The sequence below is a fragment of the Homo sapiens genome, chromosome 5 (genome assembly GCF_000001405.40).
Source record: "Homo sapiens chromosome 5, GRCh38.p14 Primary Assembly".
Lineage (NCBI taxonomy): Eukaryota > Metazoa > Chordata > Mammalia > Primates > Hominidae > Homo > Homo sapiens.
In genome coordinates this window covers 140,410,476-140,435,518 of record NC_000005.10, presented here as the reverse complement: position 1 = coordinate 140,435,518, position 25,043 = coordinate 140,410,476, and the positions used below count along the sequence as shown (strand labels likewise).

The 25,043-nt window shown below is 41.2% G+C and overlaps 2 protein-coding genes across 5 annotated transcripts in view, besides 4 other annotated features; both read right to left on the bottom strand.

The window, feature by feature from the left end:
* ANKHD1-EIF4EBP3 (ANKHD1-EIF4EBP3 readthrough) overlaps positions 1-25,043 on the bottom strand; it is a 147,744-nt gene that overhangs the window by 114,058 nt on the left and 8,643 nt on the right. The gene's annotated exons all lie outside the window — the stretch shown is intronic.
* Positions 1-25,043, bottom strand: part of ANKHD1 (ankyrin repeat and KH domain containing 1) — a 138,017-nt gene that overhangs the window by 104,331 nt on the left and 8,643 nt on the right. The gene's annotated exons all lie outside the window — the stretch shown is intronic.
* Positions 1,775-2,275: an enhancer, noted in NCBI's record as "H3K4me1 hESC enhancer chr5:139812829-139813329 (GRCh37/hg19 assembly coordinates)". NCBI's record gives its function as "activates a minimal SCP1, AML or CMV promoter by ChIP-STARR-seq in primed H9 embryonic stem cells {active_cell/tissue: H9 hESC(primed)}" and the evidence as "EXISTENCE:reporter gene assay evidence [ECO:0000049][PMID:30033119]".
* Positions 6,541-7,050: an enhancer, noted in NCBI's record as "H3K27ac-H3K4me1 hESC enhancer chr5:139808054-139808563 (GRCh37/hg19 assembly coordinates)". NCBI's record gives its function as "activates a minimal SCP1, AML or CMV promoter by ChIP-STARR-seq in primed H9 embryonic stem cells {active_cell/tissue: H9 hESC(primed)}" and the evidence as "EXISTENCE:reporter gene assay evidence [ECO:0000049][PMID:30033119]".
* Positions 8,673-9,173: an enhancer, noted in NCBI's record as "H3K27ac hESC enhancer chr5:139805931-139806431 (GRCh37/hg19 assembly coordinates)". NCBI's record gives its function as "activates a minimal SCP1, AML or CMV promoter by ChIP-STARR-seq in primed H9 embryonic stem cells {active_cell/tissue: H9 hESC(primed)}" and the evidence as "EXISTENCE:reporter gene assay evidence [ECO:0000049][PMID:30033119]".
* Positions 9,174-9,674: an enhancer, noted in NCBI's record as "H3K27ac hESC enhancer chr5:139805430-139805930 (GRCh37/hg19 assembly coordinates)". NCBI's record gives its function as "activates a minimal SCP1, AML or CMV promoter by ChIP-STARR-seq in primed H9 embryonic stem cells {active_cell/tissue: H9 hESC(primed)}" and the evidence as "EXISTENCE:reporter gene assay evidence [ECO:0000049][PMID:30033119]".

Below are 25,043 nucleotides of genomic sequence, written 5' to 3'. Positions count from 1 at the left end.
GTAATCCCAGCTACTCAGGAGACTGAGGCAGAATTGCTTGAACCCAGGAGAAGACGCAGGTTGCTGTGAGCCGAGATCGTGCCATTGTACTCTAGCCTGGGCAACACAGCAAAAACTCCATCTCAAAAAAAAAAAAAGCATTTACTTTTTATTGAAACAAGTACATGAACATAACCCTGAGAAAATCCATATAGACTAGATAGAATAGAACAAACAACAACAACAACAACAACAACAACAAACTTGATAGCATAGATAGGTCATTAAGAGAAAAGTTTTCCTCTTTTCTAAATAATTTATTCAATTCTGACTCTGAAATGAGGGAAAATAAAAACTAACCCACTGATACCTGGAGACCTTTAGACAGGAACACTCCATGAGGTTAAAAACTGTACTTTGTTTACAGTGCTATACGTTGGGCCTACGAATACCTGGCACATAGTATGAATTTAATACATACTTGTTGAAATGAATGAATGGTATAAGCAAAAATCAACTTACAAAAATAAACATGTAACCCTCCAATTTCAAATAAAATTAATTCAAAATGTATTTTCTTAAATAAAATATATACAACCCTTCTGGGAAGCAATTTGGAAACGTGTATCAAAATACCTTAAAAAGCTCACTAAAAAATTTTCTGAAAGCCAGACAAAAATTAGTGTGCAAGGATGTTCACTGCAGCATTAACTGAAATTCCAAAAATGAGGAAAAATTATAATACAGAATTTGGGAAATACATGTTGTACATTTACATGATGGACTACCATGCAGTCATTAAAAACAATGTTTTTGTGACCACTGGCTCAACTGTGAGAAGAAATAAAAAATTAAAAAAAAAGTTTTTGAAGCATATTTAATGGCATGAGAATATTCATAAAATTAAATAAAATACACAAGATTCAAAACAGTATGATTCTTATTTTGCTAAATGTACATATGTGTATATATGTAAATATGAACATGAGTACTCATGAGTAATATGTAGTATGTATATTATTTACATAATATATGTAATGTATATCATATACATATATACGTATATACATATAACATGTATGGCATATATGTAATTTGTATAATATACAGATAATATATATACTATATATATTACTGTAATATGCAAATATGTATAGCCAGGAAAAATTAACATATTTGTAGATAAAGAAAAACATCAGGAACAGAAAGATTAAGTACTTCTTCAAGGTCACACAGCTAACAAACAAAAAAAATAAGGTTTCAAACTCAGGCCACATACCTACAGAGTCCATGCTTTTAACCACTAGGATATCACACATTTATAAAAAAAAGGACCACAGTATCTGGACTACATTATTTGGCATATCTGGCTAGTTGGTCATCAATTTTCACAATGGACACCAAATAAATATAGCCTAATAAAGACAGTAAAGTTAAAATAACTTATTTTATTATCTAATGATGTACTATAATTTTACAAAATGAATCTTTAACTTCAGACCTAAAAACATTGAGCTATACTGTAACACAGCTTCTTTAACATGTAACTACAGACAAAGATGCCAGATCCAATAGATAAATGCAGGCAACCAGTTGTCAAATGACCTTGAAAAGCAACTGCTCATACAACAGCTTAATGTAAGGCCAAGAAATTAAGAGATATTTGCAGATATACATACCTGCCAGTTGGAAGGACAGGTAAAAACATCATTCCAGTGGAAAAATTATAAAATTATTTATTTAAAATAGTATTTACATATTAATATTCCTATTTTATAAATATTATATGTCTCATGTAACATTTTAAAAAGCCAAGTTAAGGATTTCCAGTAGTCTCTCATTCTCTCAATATTTACTAAAGGCGCATTTGAGATATATATATCTCTCTCTCACTATGATAATACAAAAATGTGGTAGAAGAAATAAGAAAGACTCCAACAACTATTACAAAAGGCCTCAAAGAGAAATAAATGATACAACTATATGCACTAATGAGGGAGAAATCACTTCCAGCCCTAGTAACCCGTGAAGACTTTGCACAAGAAGCAACATTTGAACTAGGCTTTGAAGGATGCACAGAATTTCAATAGGTAGTTAGACATAGGGGTAGAGGTGGGCAGAAGAGGAAGTATATTTCAGATAGAGGCAGAAAATGAAATAAAAAATAGGCTTGGAGGCTGGGTGTGGTGGCTCATGCCTGTAATTCCACACTTTGGGAAGCCAAGGCGGACAGATCACTTGAGGCCAGGTGTTCAAGACTAGCCTGGCCAACATGGCGAAACCCTGTCTGTACTAAAAATACAAAATTAGCTGGGTGTGGTGGCACATGATTGTAATCAGCTATTTGGGAGGCTAAGGCACAAGAATCGCTTGAACACAGGAGGCAGAGGTTGCAGTGAGCTGAGACTGTGGCACTGCACTCCAGCCTGGGGAACACGGCAAGACTATCTCCAAAAGAAACCCCCGTTTTTTTTTTGGGGGGGGGAAGGGGGTGGGGCTTGGAGATGAATTGTCCACTCAAAAAATGTAAGGTACGAGCCGAGCACAGTGGCTCACGTCTATAAACCCAGCACTTTGGGAAGCCAGGGTGGGGGGGATCATTTGAGGCCAGGAGTTTAAGACCAGCCTGGGAACCTAGTGAGATCTTGTCTCTACAAAAAATTTTAAAATTAGCCTAGCGTCATGGCATAAAACTGTAGTCCCAGCTACTCATGAGGCTGAGGTGGATCATTTGAGCCCAGAAGTTCAAAATTACACTGAGCTATGATTGTACGACTGTATTCCATGTGGATGACAGAGCAAGACACTGTCTCTTAAAAAAAAAAAATTAATATAAGGTCTTTCTGCATTGCTGGTGGAAACATAGTGGTGTAGCCACTGTGGAAACAGTTTGACAGTTCTTCAAAAGTTAAACATAGAATTATCATATGACCCAATAATTCTACTTCTTAGGTATATACCTAGGATAATTAAAAATATACATGTTCATACAAAAACTTAAACACAAACGTTCATACCTGCATTCTTTATAACAGCCAAAAAGTAGAAACAACCCAAATGTCCATCAGTAGATGAATAAACCAAATATGATATATATCCATGCAATTGAATATTATGCAGCCATCAAAAGGAAGAAATACATGATATAGATGAACCTTGAAAACATTATGTTTAGTGAAAGAAGGGAGACACAAAAGGTCCCATTATATGATCCCATTTATATGAAATGTCCAGCATAGGCAAATCCATAGAAAAAGACAATAGGTTGCCTTGGGAGTGGAGAAGGGAAGAATAGGAGTGACTGTAAGTGAGTCTGAAGTTTCTTTTTGGATTGATGAAAATGTTCTGGCATTAGATAGTAGTGATTGCTATACAACCTTGTAAATATACTAAAAATCACTGAAATGTAGACTTTAAAATGCTATATCTTATGGCATACGAATTATATCTCAATTTTTAAAAGATATAAGGTATCTAGAATACAACTATGGCATTAGGCTAGAAAGAACAACTGGGAATAGATTTGAGTAGACCATATAAAAGGTGACAGACTGTTCATTGCCTGCCTGATTACCACCATTAGAGAGAGAAAGAACCAGTAGCAGTGACTTCCTGGGTGTCAATAATAGCATCAGGTAAATAAGATGGCACATTCATAAGTGCTTGGGAAGAATCAAATTCAGAAGAAAAATACAAAATGGTGATGTGTCCCTTGCTTCAGAGGCTGATAACTTCTCTGAAAATATAATGCATAAGATAATTTATTGAGTTAATTCTACGTCTTACAGTGGATGTAAACTCAAGTTTCAATTAGGCAGTAAGACATAATGGAGAGCATATTACACTGGAGATCAAGAGAATAAGGTTCAAGTACCAGTTCTATCAGGCATTGTGTGTAAATTCAGACATAATACTCAACCTTTCTGACATTCTATTTCTTCCTCAATAAACAAAGACACTATCTGCCCCACCTACCTTACAGTGCTATTGAAATCCTGAAATGAGGTAATGAAGGTAAAAGCATTTTGAAACAATAAACCACCATATAAATATAATTTTTAGAACATGATTCTGTGTAATTACAATTCTTTTGTCCTGTCCCTCACCACAGTGTCTATTTTCTCCACCTTTTCAAAGTGGAAGAATCATACTGAGAATCTAACATGATGCATTTTATCAGCACTCACTTGAACTTTTGAGTGTGGTTTTATGCATTTTACATCTAATATCTGACCCATATGATAAAATTTTAAATATCCACAATACTTGTGGGAAAAAAACCCAGAATGAGTTATAGTTAATACAAAACCATACAGATAAATGATATGAATACATTTGTATCAATCAGATTTCCCAAAAAGCACTACTGTTTCCTTTGTCCCACCCTCTTTATAACTTTAAAAATGTCTGTCTCAATGTGGAATCAATAAAAGGACAAAATATCCCATTATGCTTATTATTTTGGAAATATTTGAGAGATTACTTTTGGCGGTTCACAAATATCTTACCTAACAAATCTGCTGAAACATATTCTTACAATTCAGATTGCATTAGCATTACTTCAAAATACAGCTGGCTGGGTACATGTGGCCCATGCTTGTAATCCCAACACTTTGGGAGACTGAGGGAGGAGGACTGCTTGAGCCCAGGAGTTCAAGACCAGCCTGGGCAACATAGTGAGACCTTGTCTCTACGAAAAATAATTTTTAAAAATTAGCCAGGCATGGTGGCCATGTGCCTGTGGTTCCAGCTACTCAAGAAACTGAGGTGGGAGGATCGCCTGAGCCCAGGAGGTTGAGGCTGCTATATGCCATGATCATGCCATTCCACTTCAACCTGGACCCTGGGCGACAGAGTGAGACTCTGTCAAAAAAAAAAAAAAAAAAAGATGGAAACCATTTATAGCTACGTGGAGATATGTTAAATATGACAAATTCTGTATACATTCTGTATACTTAATATAAAAGGCTTGGTGATAGAGTACAGAAACCATGTCTATATATAACAGATAAGCCCAAAATAATAGTATGTCTAATGAAATTAGTCTTCATCAAGCAAATGAATATAAAAGCCTTATACTTTCTTACATATAGCTATAACATCACAGCAATGTTCTTATTGCCTGATGATACTGTTACATAGCTCATCTCTATTCAGTAGCTACATTCAGCAGCAAATAAATACATCCACTTATAGCAGTATTATTTTTTGCCAAAGGCAAGTTCTAAACACCAAAGAATCTTTTTTCCTACCTCTGACTAGGTACAAGAATAAAGGGTGGAGGAAAAAGAGTGGTAAAGGAATACGGCCCATCAAAAACTACCTGTTTTTCCCTTATATCTCCTGAAATACTAAAGACAAAAACCTTTGTCTTCCTCCTCAAAAGGTTATTTTTCCTTCTTGCCTTAAAAACAAAAAACAAAAAACAAGGAGTATGGGAGTGTGGTTTTTAGCTTCAACTAAAACAAACAAAAGGGAGGAGAAGGGAGAAGGGGGACAAGCATTTTGTCCCATTTTTATTCCATTTTGACATTTCAGAAATGAACCACTGGATGCAACAGTTACCAAGAGAGATTACCACAGACTCAGCTATTATCACCTAAAAGAACAGTCAGTCACTCTGGCCAAAGTCTAGTTTGAAAAATCATTTATTAATCCAGCTATGATTTAACCAAAACTCACGTCCACATTAAAACAGTTTCTATGTAGCGCTATAATTAAAACTTCCAATAATAGTAATATGCTTTAAGTCTTATACTGTAATAAAATAATAATATCTCATATTACATTGATCAATAACTAATTAACTTCTCTCAGACTGTATTTCTAGAAATAGTAATTGCTAGCTAACACAGAAAATGTTATTAATAGTAAAAAATAATATTCTATCATAAAACATGTACATTACATATATTTGTTTATGTATTCTCTAGTCCTGTGGTCATACAATGCAGGGAACAAAAAAAAGAACACCAGCCAAGCTCTTAAATATAAATGAAAAATACATTGTTTTCCACAGAGCCCTTGGAATTGGATTATGAAATTTTTACTTTTAACATGTTAAATAAATTTATATTTTGAGTTAGAGAGTCAAATATTAGTAGCCACAAATTTCATTTCTGGTATCCTTTAAGAATATTCTAGGCCAGGCTGGGCGCAGTGGCTCACACCTGTAATCCCAGCACTTTGGGAGGCCGAGGCGGGTGGATCACAAGGTCAGGAAATCGAGACCAGCCTGGCCAATATGGTGAAACCCCGTCTTTACTAAAAATACAAAAATTAGCCGGGCGTGGTGGCAGGCGCCTGTAGTCCCAGCTACTCGGGAGGCTGAGGCAGGAGAATTGCTTGAACCTGGGAGGTGGAGGTTAGAGTGAACCGAGATTGTGCCACTGCACTTCAGCCTGGACAACAGAGCGAGACTCCATCTCACAAAAAAAAAAAAAAAAAAATTCTAGGCCGGGCATGGTAGCTTATGCCTGTAATCCCAGCACTTTGGGAGGCCAAGGCTAGTGGATCACCTGAGGTCAGGAGTTCGAGACCAGCCTGGCCAACATGGTGAAACCCTGTCTCTACTAAAAATACAAAAAAAATTTGCCAGACCTCATGGTGCATGCCTGTAGTCACAGCTACTCGGGAGGCTGACACACGAGAATCGCTTGAACCCAGGCAGCAGAGGTTGCAGTGAGCCAAGATCGCGCCACTGCACTCTAACCTGGGCAACAGAGCAAGACTCCGTCTCAATAAAAATAAAAATAAAAATAAAAAGAATATTCTAGGCTGGTTAATTTAAAAAAACAAAACAAAGAGTCATCACCACTCTCATGAATTTCAACTGGAGCTATGAAAAAGTTCAAGGACCTCGCCCTCGCCCTCGCCCTCTCCCTCTCCCCACGGTCTCCCTCTCCCTCTCTTTCCACGGTCTCCCTCTGATGCCGAGCCAAAGCTGGACTGTACTGCTGCCATCTGGGCTCACTGCAACCTCCCTGCCTGATTCTCCTGCCTCAGCCTGCCGAGTGCCTGCGATTGCAGGCGTGCGCCACCACGCCTGACTGGTTTTCGTGTTTTTTTGGTGGAGGCAGGGTTTCGCTGTGTTGGCCGGGCTGGTCTCCAGCTCCTAACCGCGAGTGATCCGCCAGCCTCGGCCTCCCGAGGTGCCGGGATTGCAGACGGAGTCTCGTTCACTCAGTGCTCAATGGTGCCCAGGCTGGAGTGCAGTGGCGTGATCTCGGCTCGCTGCAACCTCCACCTCCCAGCAGCCTGCCTTGGCCTCCCAAAGTGCCGAGATTGCAGCCTCTGCCCGGCCGCCACCCCGTCTGGGAAGTGAGGAGCGTCTCTGCCTGGCCGCCCATCGTCTGGGATGTGAGGAGCCCCTCTGCCTGGCTGCCCAGTCTGGAAAGTGAGGAGCGTCTCTGCCCAGCCGCCATCCCATCTAGGAAGTGAGGAGCACCTCTTCCCGGCCGCCATCCCATCTAGGAAGTGAGGAGCGTCTCTGCCCGGCTGCCCATCGTCCGGGATGTGGGGAGTGCCTCTGCCCTGCCGCCCTGTCCGGGATGTGAGGAGTGTCTCTGCCTGGCCGCCCCGTCTGAGAAGTGAGGAGACCCTCTGCCTGGCAACCGCCCCGTCTGAGAAGTGAGGAGCCCCTCCACCTGGCAGCCGCCCCGTCTGAGAAGTGAGGAGCCCCTCCGCCCAGCAGCCACCCCGTCTGGGAAGTGAGGAACGTCTCCGCCCGGCAGCCACCCTGTCCGGGAGGGAGGTGGGGGGATCAGCCCCCCGCCCGGCCAGCCGCCCTGTCCGGGAGGTGAGGGGCGCCTCTGCCCGGCCGCCCCTACTGGGAAGTGAGGAGCCCCTCTGCCTGGCCGGCCGCCCCGTCCGGGAGGGAGGTGGGGGGGTCAGCCCCCCGCCCGGCCAGCCGCCCCGTCCGGGAGGGAGGTGGGGGCGTCAGCCCCCCGCCCGGCCAGCCGCCCCGTCCGCAAGGGAGGTGGGGGGGTCAGCCCCCCGCCCGGCCAGCCGCCCCGTCCGGGAGGTGAGGGGCGCCTCTGCCCGGCCGCCCCTACTGGGAAGTGAGGAGCCCCTCTGCCCGGCCAGCCGCCCCGTCCGGGAGAGAGGTTGGGGGGTCAGCCCCCCGCCCGGCCAGCCGCCCGTCGGGGAGGGAGGTGGGGGGGGGTCAGCCCCCCGCCTGGCCAGCCGCCCCGTCCGGGAGGGAGGTGGGGGGGTCGGCCCCCCACCCGGCCAGCCGCCCCGTCCGGGAGGGAGGTGGGGGGGTCAGCCCCCCGCCCGGCCAGCCACCCCGTCTGGGAGGTGAGGGGCACCTCTGCCCGGCCGCCCCTACTGGGAAGTGAGGAGCCCCTCTGCCCGGCCAGCTGCCCCGTCCGGGAGGGAGGTGGGGGGGGTCAGCCCCCTGCCCGGCCAGCCGCCCCGTCCGGGAAGTGAGGGGCGCCTCTGCCCGGCTGCCCCTACTGGGAAGTGAGGAGCCCCTCCGCCCGGCCACCACCCCGTCTGGGAGGTGTACCCAACAGCTCATTGAGAACGGGCCATGATGACAATGGCTGTTTTGTGGAATAGAAAGGGGGGAAAGGTGGGGAAAAGATTGAGAAATCGGATGGTTGCCGTGTCTGTGTAGAAAGAGGTAGACATGGGAGACTTTTCATTTTGTTCTGTACTAAGAGAAATTATTCTGCCATGGGATCCTGTTGATCTGTGACCTTGCCCCCAACCCTATGCTCTCTGAAACATGTGCTGTATCCACTCAGGGTTGAATGGATTAAGGGCGGTGCAAGATGTGCTTTGTTAAACAGATGCTTGAAGGCAGCATGCTCTTTAAGAGTCATCACCACTCCCTGGTCTCAAGTACCCAGGGACACAAACACTGCGGAAGGCCGCAGGGTCCTCTGCCTAGGAAAACCAGAGACCTTTGTTCACTTGTTTATCTGCTGACCTTCCCTCCGCTATTGTCCTGTGACCCTGCCAAATCCCCCTCTGCGAGAAACACCCAAGAATGATCAATAAAAAAATAAATAAATAAATAAATAAATAAATAAAAAAGTTCAAGGAAAGACTAAACCTTTATCTCATTCTACCTCTCCTCACCAACCTTCAAAAATAAAGCTCCCAGCTGGGCGCAGTGGCTCACACCTTGTAACCCCAGCACTTTGGAAGGCTGAGGCAGGCAGATCACCTGAGGTTAGGAGTTCAAGACCAGCCTGGGCAACATGGCAAAATCCTGTCTCTACCAAAAATACAAAAATTAGCCAGGCGTGATGGTGTGTGCCTGTAGTCCCAGCTACTGGGGACCTGAGGCAGGAGAATTGCTTGAGCATAGGAGGCAGAAGTTGCAGTGAGCCAAGATCATGCCACCGTACTCCAGCCTGGGCGGCAGAGCGAGACTCTGTCCCAAAAAAAGAAGCTCCCTTAAGAAATTCAGATTTGATCATTTAAAATGGGAAGGTATTTTAAACAACCAAAATATACATTTTTAAAACATGTACTCGCTAGTCCTCTTTTTCTTATGTATATTTGAATAGGCCAACATGTCTTATCCTTCCCCTACCCAACGTGAGCCCTCCACTTTAAGTCAGGATCAGCACCATTTTGGAATGCCTATTGTTGATCTCTACTCAGAACAGCAAAAAGGATGGGCCAGTGTTCCAAGAAGTAATTACTGAAGGACATAACAATTCCTTTTTGCAAAACACACAGTACTCCAAAATTCTAGCAGTAGCAACCACCATAATCATGCCCTAAGATCAACTCAAAGGCAAAAAGTAATACTGTTGTAATTTAGCACCAAATAATGACAAACTTAGGGGTGAGTTTTGTTGTTACAAAAAGGCCTAATATACTCAGCAAAAACATCTTAAAATACTGGAATAAAAAGGCTATATTCATTAACATAAAAGCTTTTCAAGGTTCTTTCTACAATGAAAACTTTATTCCCCCCCAGTCTCAGACTCACAATCCCCCCTTCTCAAAAAACAGAAAAGAGGCCTGGGGCAGTGGCTCATGCCTGTAATCCCAGCACTTAGCGAGGCTAAGGTGGGCAGATTGCTTGAGCTCAGTAGTTAGAAACCAGCCTGGGCAACAGGGTGAAACCCTGTCTCTACAAAAAACAAAAATTAGCTGGGCATGGTGGTGCATACCTATAGTCCCAGCTACTTGGGAGGCTGAGGCGGCAGGATCATTTGAGCTGGAGAAGGTAGAGGCTGCATGAGCCATGATCACACCACTGCACTCCAGCCTGGGCAAAAGTGTAAGACCCTGTCTTAATAAAAAACAGTAATAAAAAACAGAAATCATATCTTGGGTTTTCTGAAATTGGTTAGCTTCATGTAGCACAAAAAAGAACCATCATGCTTTTCCTAAATCTAAGTTAAAGCTGAAGAAAATTATCCCCACTTTGCTCGAACACAAAAACTTCATTTTTAAACTATAGCTTTAACACAGAATCTATTATCTTTTGAAGTCCCTAACTGAAAACAGGAGAAGGAAAAATCTTTTTAAAAATCTACTATTAAGTACCTTTAAAAACATAATAGGCTACCATTAATAAAATGTCTCATATGTATCAGCCTTTTCCATATACTATTTTATTCAACCATCTTAACTACTTAATGTTAAGTGACTGGCCCAAGATCACAAAACCATGTGAGGATCTGAAGCTATGTGTTTCAGACAACAAAGTTTACACCCTTTTCACTACACCAAAGTGGATGAAGTGAATCTTCTAAACAACAGAGTGTAACTAAAACAAATACTAACCAGTGTAGTGAACAGAAAATCTACAGCTGTCCTAACAATCATATTGTCAGAAAATAACTTTGGAATTTAAATTAAATGTAACAGATTATCAAGCCCACTAACTCTAATACCAGATCAATCATATCACTCCTTTGGCTAAAATCCCTCCCATTTCTTAGGTAAAGGATCCAAATTTCTTTGTATGGCACATATAGTTATTTAGGATTTGGCTTTGACTATCTTTCCAACTATATCCTTGTTGTATTCTATTTGCTTTTTATATTCTAGCCATACCAAATTGCTGTAGTTTTTGAACATATCATCTCTACAAAAAATAAAATTAAAAACTAAAAATAGCCAGACATACTAGCATGCACCGGAGGAGTCAGAGCTGCTTGGGAGGCTGGGGCGGGAAGATGACTTGAACCCAGGAGTTCAAGGCTACAGTGAACCATGATCAAGCCACTGCATTCCAGCCTGGATGACAGAACAAGATATTGTCTAGATGAGTGCGTGTGTGTATATATAGATGTGTGTGTGATACATCTCTATCTCTGTCTCTGTCTCTCTCTCTCTCTCTCTCTCTATATATATATAGTAGCTAGTATTATTATTCTTGATGCCAAAGCAGTGGAAGTATATATACCAGGGTATATAAGAGCTTGATATGTTCTAAGAACTACAGCAATTTAGTATGGCTAGAATATAAAAAGCAAATAGAGCATAAGGATATAGTTGGAAAGATAGACAACGCCAAATCCTAAATAACTATGTCTGCCATACCAAGGAATTTGGATCCTTTATCTACGAAATGGGAAGGATTTTGGCCAAAAGAGTGACAGAATGACAAGACAGCATGGGAGAGAGAGCTAATGGAAGAGGGGGCCAAATGTGCTTTACAATAAAGCGACTCAGGATAGTTAACCAGCTCCTGTGAGAAGTCCTAATGACTCAGTTACCTCTTATTAGGCCCAACCTCCTAACACTGTTGAACTAGGAACCAAGTTTCTAACACATGAACTTTGGGGGACACATTCATCATAGTGGAGTGCAAGGGGAAAGTATGAGTTCAGTTTTAGAATTAATGAGCCTGAGATGTTTATGCAATATACATACAGTAGGTATTAATAGTTGGAAGGTCTCTTAAATGAAACATAATAGAAGTGAAAGGGAAGCCACATGGATATCTAAGAGAATGTACCTGACAGAGGGAACCAGAAGTGCCAAAGGCCCTGAAGCATCACAGGCTTGGCGAGTTTACAGAACATAATAAGGAGCAGTTGTGGTTTTGCTCAAAAATAAGCACAAGACAATCTTATGCTGATGGACTATGCATCCTTCCATTTTAAATTACTGCCCCTTTAAACCTGCCACTTAGAGCCCATCAATCTCCTGAAGCAAGACACTCAAATATCAATCTTTAGAGTGATCATCCAACTAACACAGGGCAATGATCCACACATTGAATTTGGTATCTTGGACTGTCACAGAACCATGAGAAAATTAAATGAGGTGATGCAATTAAAGTGCACAATGCCTAGAACACTCAAATACAATTTATTAATATCTAAAAAGAGTTTAGAATGACAAATATAATTTGAATAAATAGGCTGGGCATGGTGGCTCATGCCTGTAATCCCAGCAGTTTGGAAGGCCAAGGCAGGACGATCACTTAAGGCCAGAACTTCCAAACTACCCTAGGTATTGAGACCTCACCTCCACCAAAAAATATTTTAAAATTAGCTGAGTGTGGAGTGTGGCTGCGGATGCCTGTAGTCCCAGCTGCAGGGGTGGGGTGTGGAAGGGGAGGTTTGAGGTGGGAGGATTGCTTGAACCCAGGAGGTAGAGTTTGCAGTGAGCCATGATCGCACCACTGCACTCCAGCCTGGGCGAAAGAGCAAGACCCTGTCTCAAAAAATAAACAATAATTTACCTTCTTTTTTCATTACCAGGAATATTAATATTCCTGAAAAGACTGATGTCTTTTTTCCCCCCCAAGACAGAGTCTTGCTCCGTCACCCAGGCTGGAGTGCAATGGTGCAATCTTGGCTCACTGCAACCTCCACCTCCCAGGTTCAAGCGATTCTCCAGCCTCAGCCTCCTGAGTATCTGGGATTACAGGTGCGTACCACTACACCCTGCTAAATTTTTTGTATTTTTAGTAGAGACGGGGTTTCACCATGTTGATCAGGCTGGTCTCGAACTCCTGACCTCACGATCCGCCCAGAACATAAAGTGCCTCAGCCCCCCAAAGTGCTGGAAGACTGATGTCTTTAAGGACAGGGAACATATTTTTTCATCTTTGTAGTCCAAAGTCTAGCACAAAGCTTAACAAATAGTAGGCTCTAAATAAATAATTGTGAATAAATAAATCCACTCTAGGCCAGGTGTGGTGGCTGATGCCTGTAATCCCAGCACCTTGGGACACAGAGGCAGGCAGATCACCTGAGGTCAGGAGTTTGAGACCAGCCTGCCCAACATGGTGAAACCCCATCTCTCCTAAGAAATACAAAAAATTAGCCGGGCGTGGTGGTGGGCGCCTGTAATCCCAGCTACTCGGGAGGGTGCGGTAGGAGAATTGCTTGTACCCAGGAGGCGGAGGTTGAAATGAGCCAAGATCATGCCACTGCACTCCAGCCTGGGCGACAAGAGTGAAACTCCGTCTCAATCAATCAATCCACTCTAAAATACCAATCAGAATTCTTAAACTACCAAGGACTCTAACCTTTAAAGGACATAATTCTGTTATGCAAAATGTGAGTTCATGAAGAAGTCCTACCCCAAATTAACCAAGATTTTCTTCTGTAGAGAATGAGTGAATAATTTCAACAGATCAGCAACAAGGAGATATATACAATAGTACTCGTGATACTATATCATCATATAATTCTAAATTCTGTTGAGGGGTTGGTAATAGGTCAAATCCATGATTTTAAGTATAGCCTCAAATAATGGTCTCTTCAAACTAAAAGAAAATAAACTTTTCATTGCTAACCTATCAGTCAAGTCCCAAGTAAGACAGGTACCAAAATATAGTACAGACTCTTATTGTTCACTGAGCTGAAATAATTAGTAACCTAACAAAACTAGAAGCATTAGAGCAAGTGATAAGACTGTGACAATACTGGCTTGGAAGTCAAACTGTATGTTACTTAAACATTGAATTTACACCTCCTTAAGCAGGTGTTACGAGATGCAAAAACTCGGCCGGGCACGGTGGCTCAAGCCTGTAATCCCAACACTCTGGGAGGCCAAGGTGGGTGGATCACTTGAGGTCAGGAGTTTGAGAGCAATCTGGCTAACATGGTGAAACCTCGTCTCTACTAAAAATACAAAAATTAGCTGGGTGTGGTGGCCGGCCCCTGTAATCCCAGCTACTCAGGAGGCAAAGGCAGGATAATCGCTTGAACCCAGGAGGCAGAGGTTGCAGTGAGCCGAGATCACGCCACTGCACGCCAGCCTGGGCGACAAGAGCGAAACTGTCTCAAAAAAAAAAAAAAAAAAAAAAAGTAAAAACTCTAATTACCATGTTTTATAGTTTATTCCAATTATCCATTTGTTTGTTGCCCTGGAAAAAGAAATTCTGTCCATATTCTTCTTGGAGACTAGTCCACTCAGAAGACAACTACCCAAACCAACCATCTCCTTCCTCTTCGGTCTTACCTCTTCTAAAACATATACTCAGGCTTTGTGAGAGAGGGGATGCACAGGGTAAACGGGTTAAAAAAAGGAAAACAAACATTGATACTACAACTTGTTCTCCTAGCAGTCTGGCAAATTTAAATTACATGGTTTAAATTACATGAATTTCTCCCCACCTACAGCATATAGAAAGGTACAGAAATTTCAAGAGCTAGAATGTTATGGAAGTGGGAAGGAGGGGGTTGAATCATTTGTCTATTACCACAAATTCTGCATCATATTAAACACCTCCTACTATACCTCTCCTAAAGACCACATCAAGAGAACAAGAATATAACCAATAACCAATAACCCAGAATAACCAAAACAACAATGAAAAATAACAAAGTCAGAAGACTTACACTTTCTCATTTCAAAACTTACTGCAAAAAGCTACAGTAATCAAGACAGTGTGGAACTGGCATAGGGAGACATATAGATCAATGAATAGAACAGACAGTCCAGAAATAAACCCTCACACGTAGTCAACTGATTTTTGAAAAGGGTGCAAAGACAATTCAAGGGGGATAGAAATAGTCTTTTCAACAAATTATGCTGAAAAAACTGGGTATGCACATTCAAAAGAATCAAGTTAGACCTCTACCTCACGCCTTATATATAAAAATTAACTCAAATTGGATCAGAGACCTAAATGTAAGAGCTAAAACTATGCAAGTCTCAGAAGAAAACAGGCATAAATCATAAATCTTTGTCATCTTGGATTACGCAATGGTTTCTTAGACATGACAACAAGAGCACAAGCAAAAAGATAAATATATAAATTGGGCGTCATCAAAATTTTTAAACTTCAAGTGACACAAGAAAGTGAAGACAAGACTGGGTATGGTGGCTCATGCATATAATCCCAGCACTTTGAGAGGCCAAGGCGGGAGGACTGCCTGAGGCCAGGAGTTTGAGACCAGCCTGGGCAAAATGGTGAGACCTTGTCTGTACAAACAGTAAAATTAGCTGGGCATGGTGGTGTGCACCTGTAGTCCAGCTACTTGGGAGGCTGAGGGGAGAATTGTTTGAGCCTGAGAGGCTGAGGCTGCAGTGAGCCATGATGGAGCAACTACATTCCAGCCTGGGCAACAGAGGGAGGGAGACTGTGTGGAGAGGGGAGGGGAGGAGGAGCGGAGGGGAGGAGAGGGGAGGGGAGGGGAGGGGAGGGGAGGGGAGGGGAGGGGAGGGGAGGGGAGGGGAGGGGGAAGGAAGGACAGACGGAAGGAAGGAAGGAAGGACAGAAGAAGAAAGAAAGAAAAGAAAGAAAAAAAGAAAGAGAAAGAAAAAGAAAGAAAGAAAGAAAGAAAGAAAGAAAGAAAGAAAGAAAGAAAGAAAGAAAGAAAGAAAAAGAAAGGAAAGAGAAGAGAAAAGAAAAGAAAGAGAGAGAGAAAGAAAGAAAAGACAGGCAGGAGAATCACTTGAGCTTAGGAGTTCAAGACCTCAAGACCAGTCTGGGCAATATACTGATACTCCATATCTACAAAAAAATTAAAAATCAGCCAGGCACAGTGGTACATGCTGATAGTCCCAACTATTCCAGAAGCTGAGGTTGGAGGATCACTTGAACCCAGAAGTTTGAGGCTTCAGTGAGCTATGATTGGGCAACTACATTCCAGCCTGGGTGACAGAGTGAGACCATCTCAAAAACAAAAAAAAAAAAAAAAAAAGAAAGAAAGAAAATGAAGACAACTCACAGAATGGGAGAAAATATTTGCAAATCATGGATCTGTTAAGGAACTAGCATCCAGAATTTTTTTCCTAAAACAAATTTAAAAAAGAAAAGAAAAAACAAACACATAGCTATAAAAAAAACCCAATCAACAGGAAAAATATTTGAATAGATATTTCTTCAAAGATATACATATGACCAATAAGCACATGAAAAGATGCTCAACATCATTAATCATTAGGGAAATGCAAATCAAAACCACAATTAGATACCACCTCACACTCACTAGAATGGCTGTAATAAAAAAAAAAAAGAGAGAAAAGAAAGAAAAATAACAAATGTTAGTGAAGATGAGAAGAATGGAACTCTTGTACATTGCTGGTAGGAATGTTAAATAGTACAGCTGCAGAGAATTGGCAGTAGGACAGGTATGATGGCTCATGCCTATAACTCCAGCACTTTGGGAGGCCAAGGCAAGTGGATCACTAGAGGCCAGGAGTTCGAGACCAGCCTGGGCAACATGGTGAAACCCTATCTCTACTAAAAATACAAAAATTAGCCAGGAGTGTTGGCACATGCCTGTAATCCCAGCTACTCGCGAGGCTGAGGCACGAGAATCACTTGAGCCCAAGAACTGGAGGCTGCAATGAGATATGACTGCCCCACTGCACTGCAGCCTGGGTGACAGAGCAAGACTCGGACTCAAAAGCAAAACAAAAAGTATTGATACCTGCTACAATATTGTAGAAATCTTTAAAACAATATGTTAAGTGAAAGAAATCAGGCACAAATAACCACATATTATATGATTCTGTTTATACGAAATGCCCAGATTAGGCAAATACATACAGACAGAAAGTGGATTAGTGATTATGAGGGGCTGGGGGAAGGTGAGAATGGGAAAAGACTGCTAAGGAGTACACGGCTTCTTTTGGGAGTGATAAAAGTGTTTTAGAATAGTTAGTTGATGGTCATACAACTTTGTGAATATATTAAAAACCAATGGGCCAGGCGTAGTGGCTCACACCAGTAATCCCAACACTTTGGGAGGCCAAGGCAGGAGGACTGCTTGAGCTCAGGAATTTGAGAACAGCCTGGGCAACATGACAAAACCCTGACTCTACAAAAAATACAAAAAACAAATTAGCCACTGTAGTGGTGCACATCTGTAGTCCCAGCTACTGAGGAGGCTGAAGTGGATCACCTGAGCCTGGGGAGGTTGAGGCTGCAGTGAACCGTGACTGTGCCACTCTTAACTCCAGGTTAGGTGACAGTGAGATCCTATCTCAAAAAAAAAAAAAAAAAAAAGAAGGCTGGACCCGGTGGCTCACGCCTGTAATCCCAGCACTTTGGGAGGCCGAGGAGGGCAGATCGCCTGAGGTCGGGAGTTTGAGACTGGCCTGGACAACATGGTGAAACCCCATCTCTACTAAAAATACAAAAAAACTAGCCGGGCGTGGTGGCAGGCACCTGTAATCCCAGCTACTCGGGGGGCTGAAGCAGGAGAATTGCTTGAACCCAGGAGGCGGAGGTTGCAGTGAGCCAAGACTGTGCCACTCCACTCCAGCCTGAGCGACGACAGAGCGAGACTCTGTCTCAAAAAAAAAAAAAAAAAAAAAGACTATATGGGAAAAGTTCCTTGTACTATTCTTACAACTTTCCAGTAAGTTTGAAATTATATCACAATAAAAAGTAACTGGGTTGGGTGCAGTGGCGCATGCCTGTAATCCCAGCACTCTGGGAGGCCGACGCAGGCAGACTGCTTGAGCTCAGGAGGTTCAGGACCACCAGCCTGGGCAACATGGCAAAGCCCATCTCTACAAAAAATACAAAAATTAGCCAGACATGGTGGCATGCACCTATAGTCCCAGCTATACTTAGGAGGCCGAGGTGGGAGGATGGCTTGAGCTCTGGAGGTGGAGGTTGCAGTAAGCCAAGATCGTGCCACTACACTCAAGCCTGAGTGACAGAGACACTGTCTTTAATTAATTATTAATTAAATTAAAAATTTTAAATTAAAAAATTTTTTAATTAAAAAAATGTTTAATTAAATAAATAAATACATAAATAATAACCAAAAAAAAAGAGAATGTATCCACTACTGTCCCTTTTGGGATTTGCTCCTTTGTCATAATGATAACTACAGGTTCATTTATCTAAGTTTAATACCATATTGAGATAATTTTTCCAAGACTGAGCTCATATCTAATCATATAAAGGATAAAGAATATTCTTTCTAGCATTTAATCAATATACGACATATCCTGATCACTCACAAATTAGTCAATATGAGGATAAATCAGGAAAAAATAAGGATTATATTTCAAAAACATATACTCAAAGTAAACATCCCATGTTATTTTGGGTTCAATGGCTTCAGGGAGAACATCAGTTGACTGAGTCTGGCAGCCTCTCCATCATAGATGCTTTTTAATATTTTGTCCAGATCAAGTCCTTTGATTTGCTAATAATTATTATAATAAAACAATTACATAAAATTTGTATTAAAAGTTTTTCTCATCCAAAACAATCTATAGATTCAATACAATCCCTATTGAATCTCAATGGCACTTTTTGCAGAAATTAAAAAAAAAAAAACCCATCCTAAAATTAATATGGGATCTCAAAAGACCCAGAATAGTCAAAATAATCTTAAAAAAGAAGAACAGGTTAGGCATGGTGCCTCACACTTGTAATCCCAGCATTTTAGGAGGCCAAGGTGGGAGGATCACTTGAGGCCAGGAGTTTGAGACCAGCCTGGACAACATAGTAAGACCTCATCTCTATAAAAAATTAAAATTAAAAAAAAGAACAAATTTGAAAGACTAATGCTTCCTAATTTCAACTTACTATAAAGCTACAGTAATCAAAAGAGGATGGTGGCAAAGAGACAGACATATAGACCAATGGAATAGATCAGAGAGTCAAGAAAGTAAACCCACTTATATATGGTCAATTGATTTTTGACAAGGATGCCAAGGCCATTCAATGGGAAAATAATGGTCTTTAACAAATGGTGCTAAAAAACTGGATATCCACAAGCAAAAGCATGAAATTGGACCTTACCTTATACCATATACAAAAATTAACTTGGCGATTCCTCAAGGATCTAGAACTAGAAATACCATTTGACCCAGCCATCCCATTACTGGGTATATACCCAAAGGATTATAAATCATGCTGCTATAAAGACACACGCACACGTACGTTTACTGCGGCACTATTCACAATAGCAAAGACTTGGAACCAACCCAAACATCCATCAATGATAGACTGGATTAAGAAAATGTACCACATGCACACCATGGAATGCTATGCAGCCATAAGAAAGGATGAGTTTGTATCCTTTGTAGGGACATGGATGAAGCTGGAAACCATCATTCTGAGCAAACTATTGCAAGGACAGAAAACCAGACACTGCACGTTCTCACTCATAGGTGGGAATTGAACAATGAGAACACTTGGACACAGGGTGGGGAACATCACACACCGGGGCCTGTCGTGGGGTCAGGGGAGGGGGAAGGGATAGCATTAGGAAATATACCTAATGTACATGACAAGTTAATGGGTACAGCACACCAACATGGCACATGTGTACATATGTAACAAACCTGCAGGTTGTGCACATGTACCCTAGAACTTAAAGTATAATAAAATAAATAAATAAATAAATAAAAATAAATTTTAAAAAATTAACTCAAAATGTATCAAAGGCGGCTGGGTGCGGTGGCTGAGGCCTGTAATCCCAGCACTTTGGGAGGCAGAGGCAGGCAGATCACTTGAGGTCAGGAGTTCAAGACCAGCCTGGCCAACATGGCAAACCCCCTATCTACTAAAAATACAAAAATTAGCTGGGCGTGGTGGCGTGCACCTGTAATCCCAGCTACTTGGGAGGCTGAGGCAGGAGAATCGCCTGAACCCAGAAGGTGGAGGTTACAGTGAGCCGAGATCGCACCATTGTACTCCAGCCTGGGCGACAGAGCAAGACTCCATCTCAAAAAAAAAAAAAAAAAGAGGTATCAAAGGCGTAAATTTAAAAGCTTAGACTATAAAACTCTTTTTTTTTTTCTTAAGACGAAGTCTCGCTCTGTCACCCAGGCTGGAGTGCAGTGGCAAGATCTCAGCTCACTGCAACCTCCGCCTCCCAGGTTCAGCAATTCTCCTGACTCAGCCTCCTGAGTAGCTGGGATTACAGGCAGGCACCACCATGCCCGGCTAATTTTTGTATTTTTTAGTAGAGATGGGATTTCACCATGTTGGTCAGGCTGGTCTCAAACTCCTGACCTTGTGATCGGCCCGCCTCGGCCCCCCAAAGCGCTGGGATTATAGGTGTGAACCACCACGCCTGAAAATCTTCATGACACTGGAGATGGCAATAATTTCATGACATCATAAGCATACGACAAAATAAAAAAACAGATAAATTAGGTTCATCAAAATTAGAAACTTTTTGTTCATGAAAGGACACTACAGCAACAGAATGAAATGACAAGCTACAGAATGAAGGCAAATATTTGTTAATTATGTATCTGATAAGGGATTAATATCCAGAATATATAAAGAATTCCTACAACTAAACAATAAAAAACAAACAACACAATTTTTTTTTTTTTTTGAGACAGGGTCTCACTCTTGTCACCCAGGCTGGAGTGCAGTGACAGTGGCAGTCACAGCTTATTGCAGCCTCGACCACACAGGCCCAAGCAATCCTCCCACCTCAGCCTCTTGAGTAGCTGGGACTACAGGCATGTGCCACCATGCCTGGCTAATTTTTTTTTACTTTTTGTAGAGACAGGGTTCCCTATATTGCCCAGGCTGGTTCTGAACTCCTGGGCTCAGATGATCTTTCTGCCTCAGCCTCCCAAAGTGCTGGGATTACAGGCGTGAGCCACTGTGCCTAATCGGCAATACAATTTCTTTTTAAATGTACAATGGATTTGAATAGACATTTCACCAAAGATACAGAAATGGCCAATAAGCATATGAAAAGATGCTTAACACTACTAATCATTAGGGAAATAACAAATCAAAACCCCAATGAAATACCACTTCATACCCATTAGAATTGCTATTATCAAAAAACAAACATAAATAACTGTTGGCTAGAATATGGAGAAATTAGAACCCTTCCTTGTGCTTTGCTGTTAGGAATGTCAAATGATATAGCTGATATAGAACACAGTATTGCAGTTCCTCAAAAAATTAAAAATAGAATTACCATATGATCCAGCAATTCCATTTCTGGGTATATACCTAAAATAATTGAATGCAGGCCTCAAAGAGATATTTGCATATCTATGTTCATAACAGCATTATTCATAATAGCCCAATGGTGGAAGCAATCCAAGTGTCCATCAACAGATGAACAGATAGACCGGGCACAGTGGCTCACACCTGTAATCCCAGCACTTTAGGAGGTCGAGGCGAGTGGATCACATGAGGTCAGGAGTTTGAGACAAGCCTGGCCTACATAGCAAAACCCCATCTCCACTAAAAATACAAAAATTAGCCAGGCATGGTGGCACACTCCTGTAGTCTCAGCTACTCGGGAGGCTGAAGCAGGAGAATCACTTGAACCCAGGAGGTGGAGGTTGCAGTGAGCTGAGATCGTGCCACTGCACTCCAGCCTGGGTGACAGAGCAAGACTCCATCTCCAAAAAAAAACAAAACAAACAAAAAAACCCAAATGAACAGATAAATAAAATATAGGGAGTGTGCATGTGTGTACATATATACACACACACATACATATACACACACAATTGAATTTAACTTTAAAAGAATAAAATTTTGACACAAGCAACAACTGGATTAACCCTGAAGACATTATGCTAAGAGAACAAAGCCAGTCACAGAAGGACAAATACTGCATGATTCCAATTATATAAGTAGTAAAATTCATAGAGAGAAAACGTAGAATGGTAGTTGCTAGGGGTTGGGGGAAGGGAGAATGGGAGAATTATTGTTTAACAAGTACAGAATTTCAGTTTGGAAGATGAGAAAGTTCTGGAGATGGTTGATGGTGAAGGTTGCACAACAATGTAAATACACTTAATGCCACTGAACTGTACATTTAACATACATGTACAGTGGTTAAAGTATAAATGTGATTAAAATGGTAAAGTTTATGTTATATATACATATTCTACCACAATTTTAAAACAAAAACAAAAAAATGGTTAAAATGATAGATTTTATGTTATGAATATTTTACCAAAATCTAAAAAACAAACTCGTTCTCAATCTAATTGTCCTCATTGTAAATTTTTAAACACATCAAACTTACCTTGGCAACTTAATAAACTGTTTTCTTGTTTAACTCTTTGGTTCTTAGTTGGTTCTTAGGGGTAACCTCTAGGGATATACTTGCCTTTCTCTTTTCAAAATTGCATACTAATACAGATGAATCAATCACTAGCATACAGTGGGATATCTACATTTTTTAAAAAAACATCCTTTCTACTACTGAAAACAGTATCTATTCAGTAAGTGGAAAACTTTGTGAGAACAGAAGTCTATGTAGCAGAGGAAGAGCAAAATGTGCTCTTCCACAAATAGTTGCTAAATTTCAGTCCAACAAATTTTTTTATATACAACCTTACTTTCTTCCTGGTTTAGGTAAACTTGGCAGGAAGAAAGGTAAACTAGTCAATCATCATAAGTCAATTGATCTTTACTCACAGGAACCATGCACTGTCTGTAACTATCAATAGAAAAGCAGATTACAATTTTTACAAAATAATTGGAATATAACAATATTGTAAAACAAATATTTCCCATATTGGCAAAGCTGCAAAGTTGGGCATATGCCTTTCTATTTCAATGGTTTTAATTATTTCTTAATCCTTTTTAAATGAATAATGAAAGACCTGAACTTTCCAATTAAGTTCATTACAAAATTTCTTTAGAATAGTGCTCCCCCTATACTCTAGTGGTACACTCTCTTATGCTGATCTACATGACAGTAATTTCATTAAAAAATATAAAACTTTTCCGGCCAGGCGTGGTAGCTCATGCCTGTAATCTTGGCCCTCTGGGAGGCCACTGCAGGAGGATCCCTTGAGCTCAGGAGTTTGAGACCAGCCTGGACAACATAATGAGACCTTGTAACTACAAAAAAAATAGCCGGGCACGGTGGCTCACGCCTGTAATCGCAGCACTTTGGGAGGTGGGCAGATCACAAGGTCAGGAGTTTGAGACCAGCGTGGTCAACATGGTGAAACCCCATCTCTACTAAAAATACAACAAATTAGCGGGGCATGGTGGCACGCACCTGTAATCCTAGCTACTTGGGAGGCTAAGGCAGGAGAATTGCCTGAACCCAGGAGGCGGAGGTTGCAGTGAGCTGAGATCCGCCACTGCACTCCAGCCTGGGCAACTAAGACTGTGTGTCGGAAAAAATTAATTAATTAAATTTAATTTAAAAATTAGCAGGGTACGGTGGTGTGCGCCTGTGGTCCCAGACACTTGGGAGGCTGAAAGGGGAGGATCGCTTGAGCCCAGAAGGTCAAGGCTGCCTGAGCCGTGATTGCGCCATACGATCGTGAGCCACTGCACTCCTGCACCACCGCACTCCAGCTTGGGTGACATAACGGGACCCTGTCTCAAAAAAAAAAAAATTTAAAAAAAGGCCAGGCACAGTGGCTCAAGCCTATAATCCCAGCACTTTGGGAGGCTGAGGTGGGCAGATAGTCTGAGGTCAGGAGTTCGAGACCAGCCTGGCCAACATGGTGAAACCCCATCTCTACTAAAAATACAAAAAAAAATTAGCTGGGTATGGTGGTGGCCGCCTATAATCCCAGCTACTCAGGAGGCTGAGGCAGGAGAATTGCTTGAACTCGGGAGGCAGAGGTTGCAGTGAGCCAAGATTGCACCATTACACTCCAGCCTGGGCAACAGAGTGAGACTCCGTTCTCAAACAAACCAAAAAAAAAACAGCCAAAAAAAAAAAAAAACTTTTCCAACAAGATCAACTATGGATTATAAACTATAATAGTTTGAAAGAGGCATTTATAAGCAACTAATTAAACTCATTAATATAATGCATCAAAAGAAAGTTAGGAGAATCTGGAAGGTAGGATAACTAGAATGGGAATCAGATGGCCTATTTTTCAGTCTTGACTGCTACATATTAACTGTGTGATCTGGGCAAGTCATTTAGCTCAACAGTTCCCAGACTTCTGAGGCTTTTATCCAGGGTCCCAAATGAAGTTTCCAGTTGATATTCTGTTAAGTACAGATAGTTTTAAAAATTCATTTTGTAAAAGTAGGAAGAGTATTTGTCAAAATAGAAAAAAGTGGGAAAAAATAGCTTCATTAGAAATTCACTACATCCTGCTTATTTTCTCCATTTTACTTTACATCTGTGAAAACTTCAATAGGAACTAAACAATGATTTATTTAAAAAACAGCATTTGGTAACCAAAAACTACATATTTCTTAATTTGAAGCAAAATAACAGTATGGGCTCTAAATTCAGTATCACATTCAAATCCCACCTTTACCAGTCACTAGCCATATAACATTTTAACCATTTTTTTGTTTTTTAGATTCATTACTCTAAAAACTCTCTGAGCCTACACTTATTCATCTATAAAAATGTAGATAATACCTACCTCAAAGGGGTGATGAAACGATTAAATAAAATAACGAAAGTATCTAGTACGGTACTGGTATATAATAAGCATTCAATAAATGGTAGCAGTTACCTAAAAATGAGATGAGATAGGATTATCACCAAGATTCTATGACTCTATAGACAAGCAATAGGAGAGGGAAATGTGATCAATAAGGTCTGTGAAGACAGATACATTGAAACAGTTCCTTTATAGTGGGTTTAAAAAAAGAATTGATTTTATTTATTACAACTTTAGTTCTGAGAAAGTAAATTTGGCCAAAAAAAAAAATTTGGTAAACTTGTCATTTATTTTGTTTACTTGCCAATTCAAGGCTAAAACTGTTTAAAACTGTTTTGCTT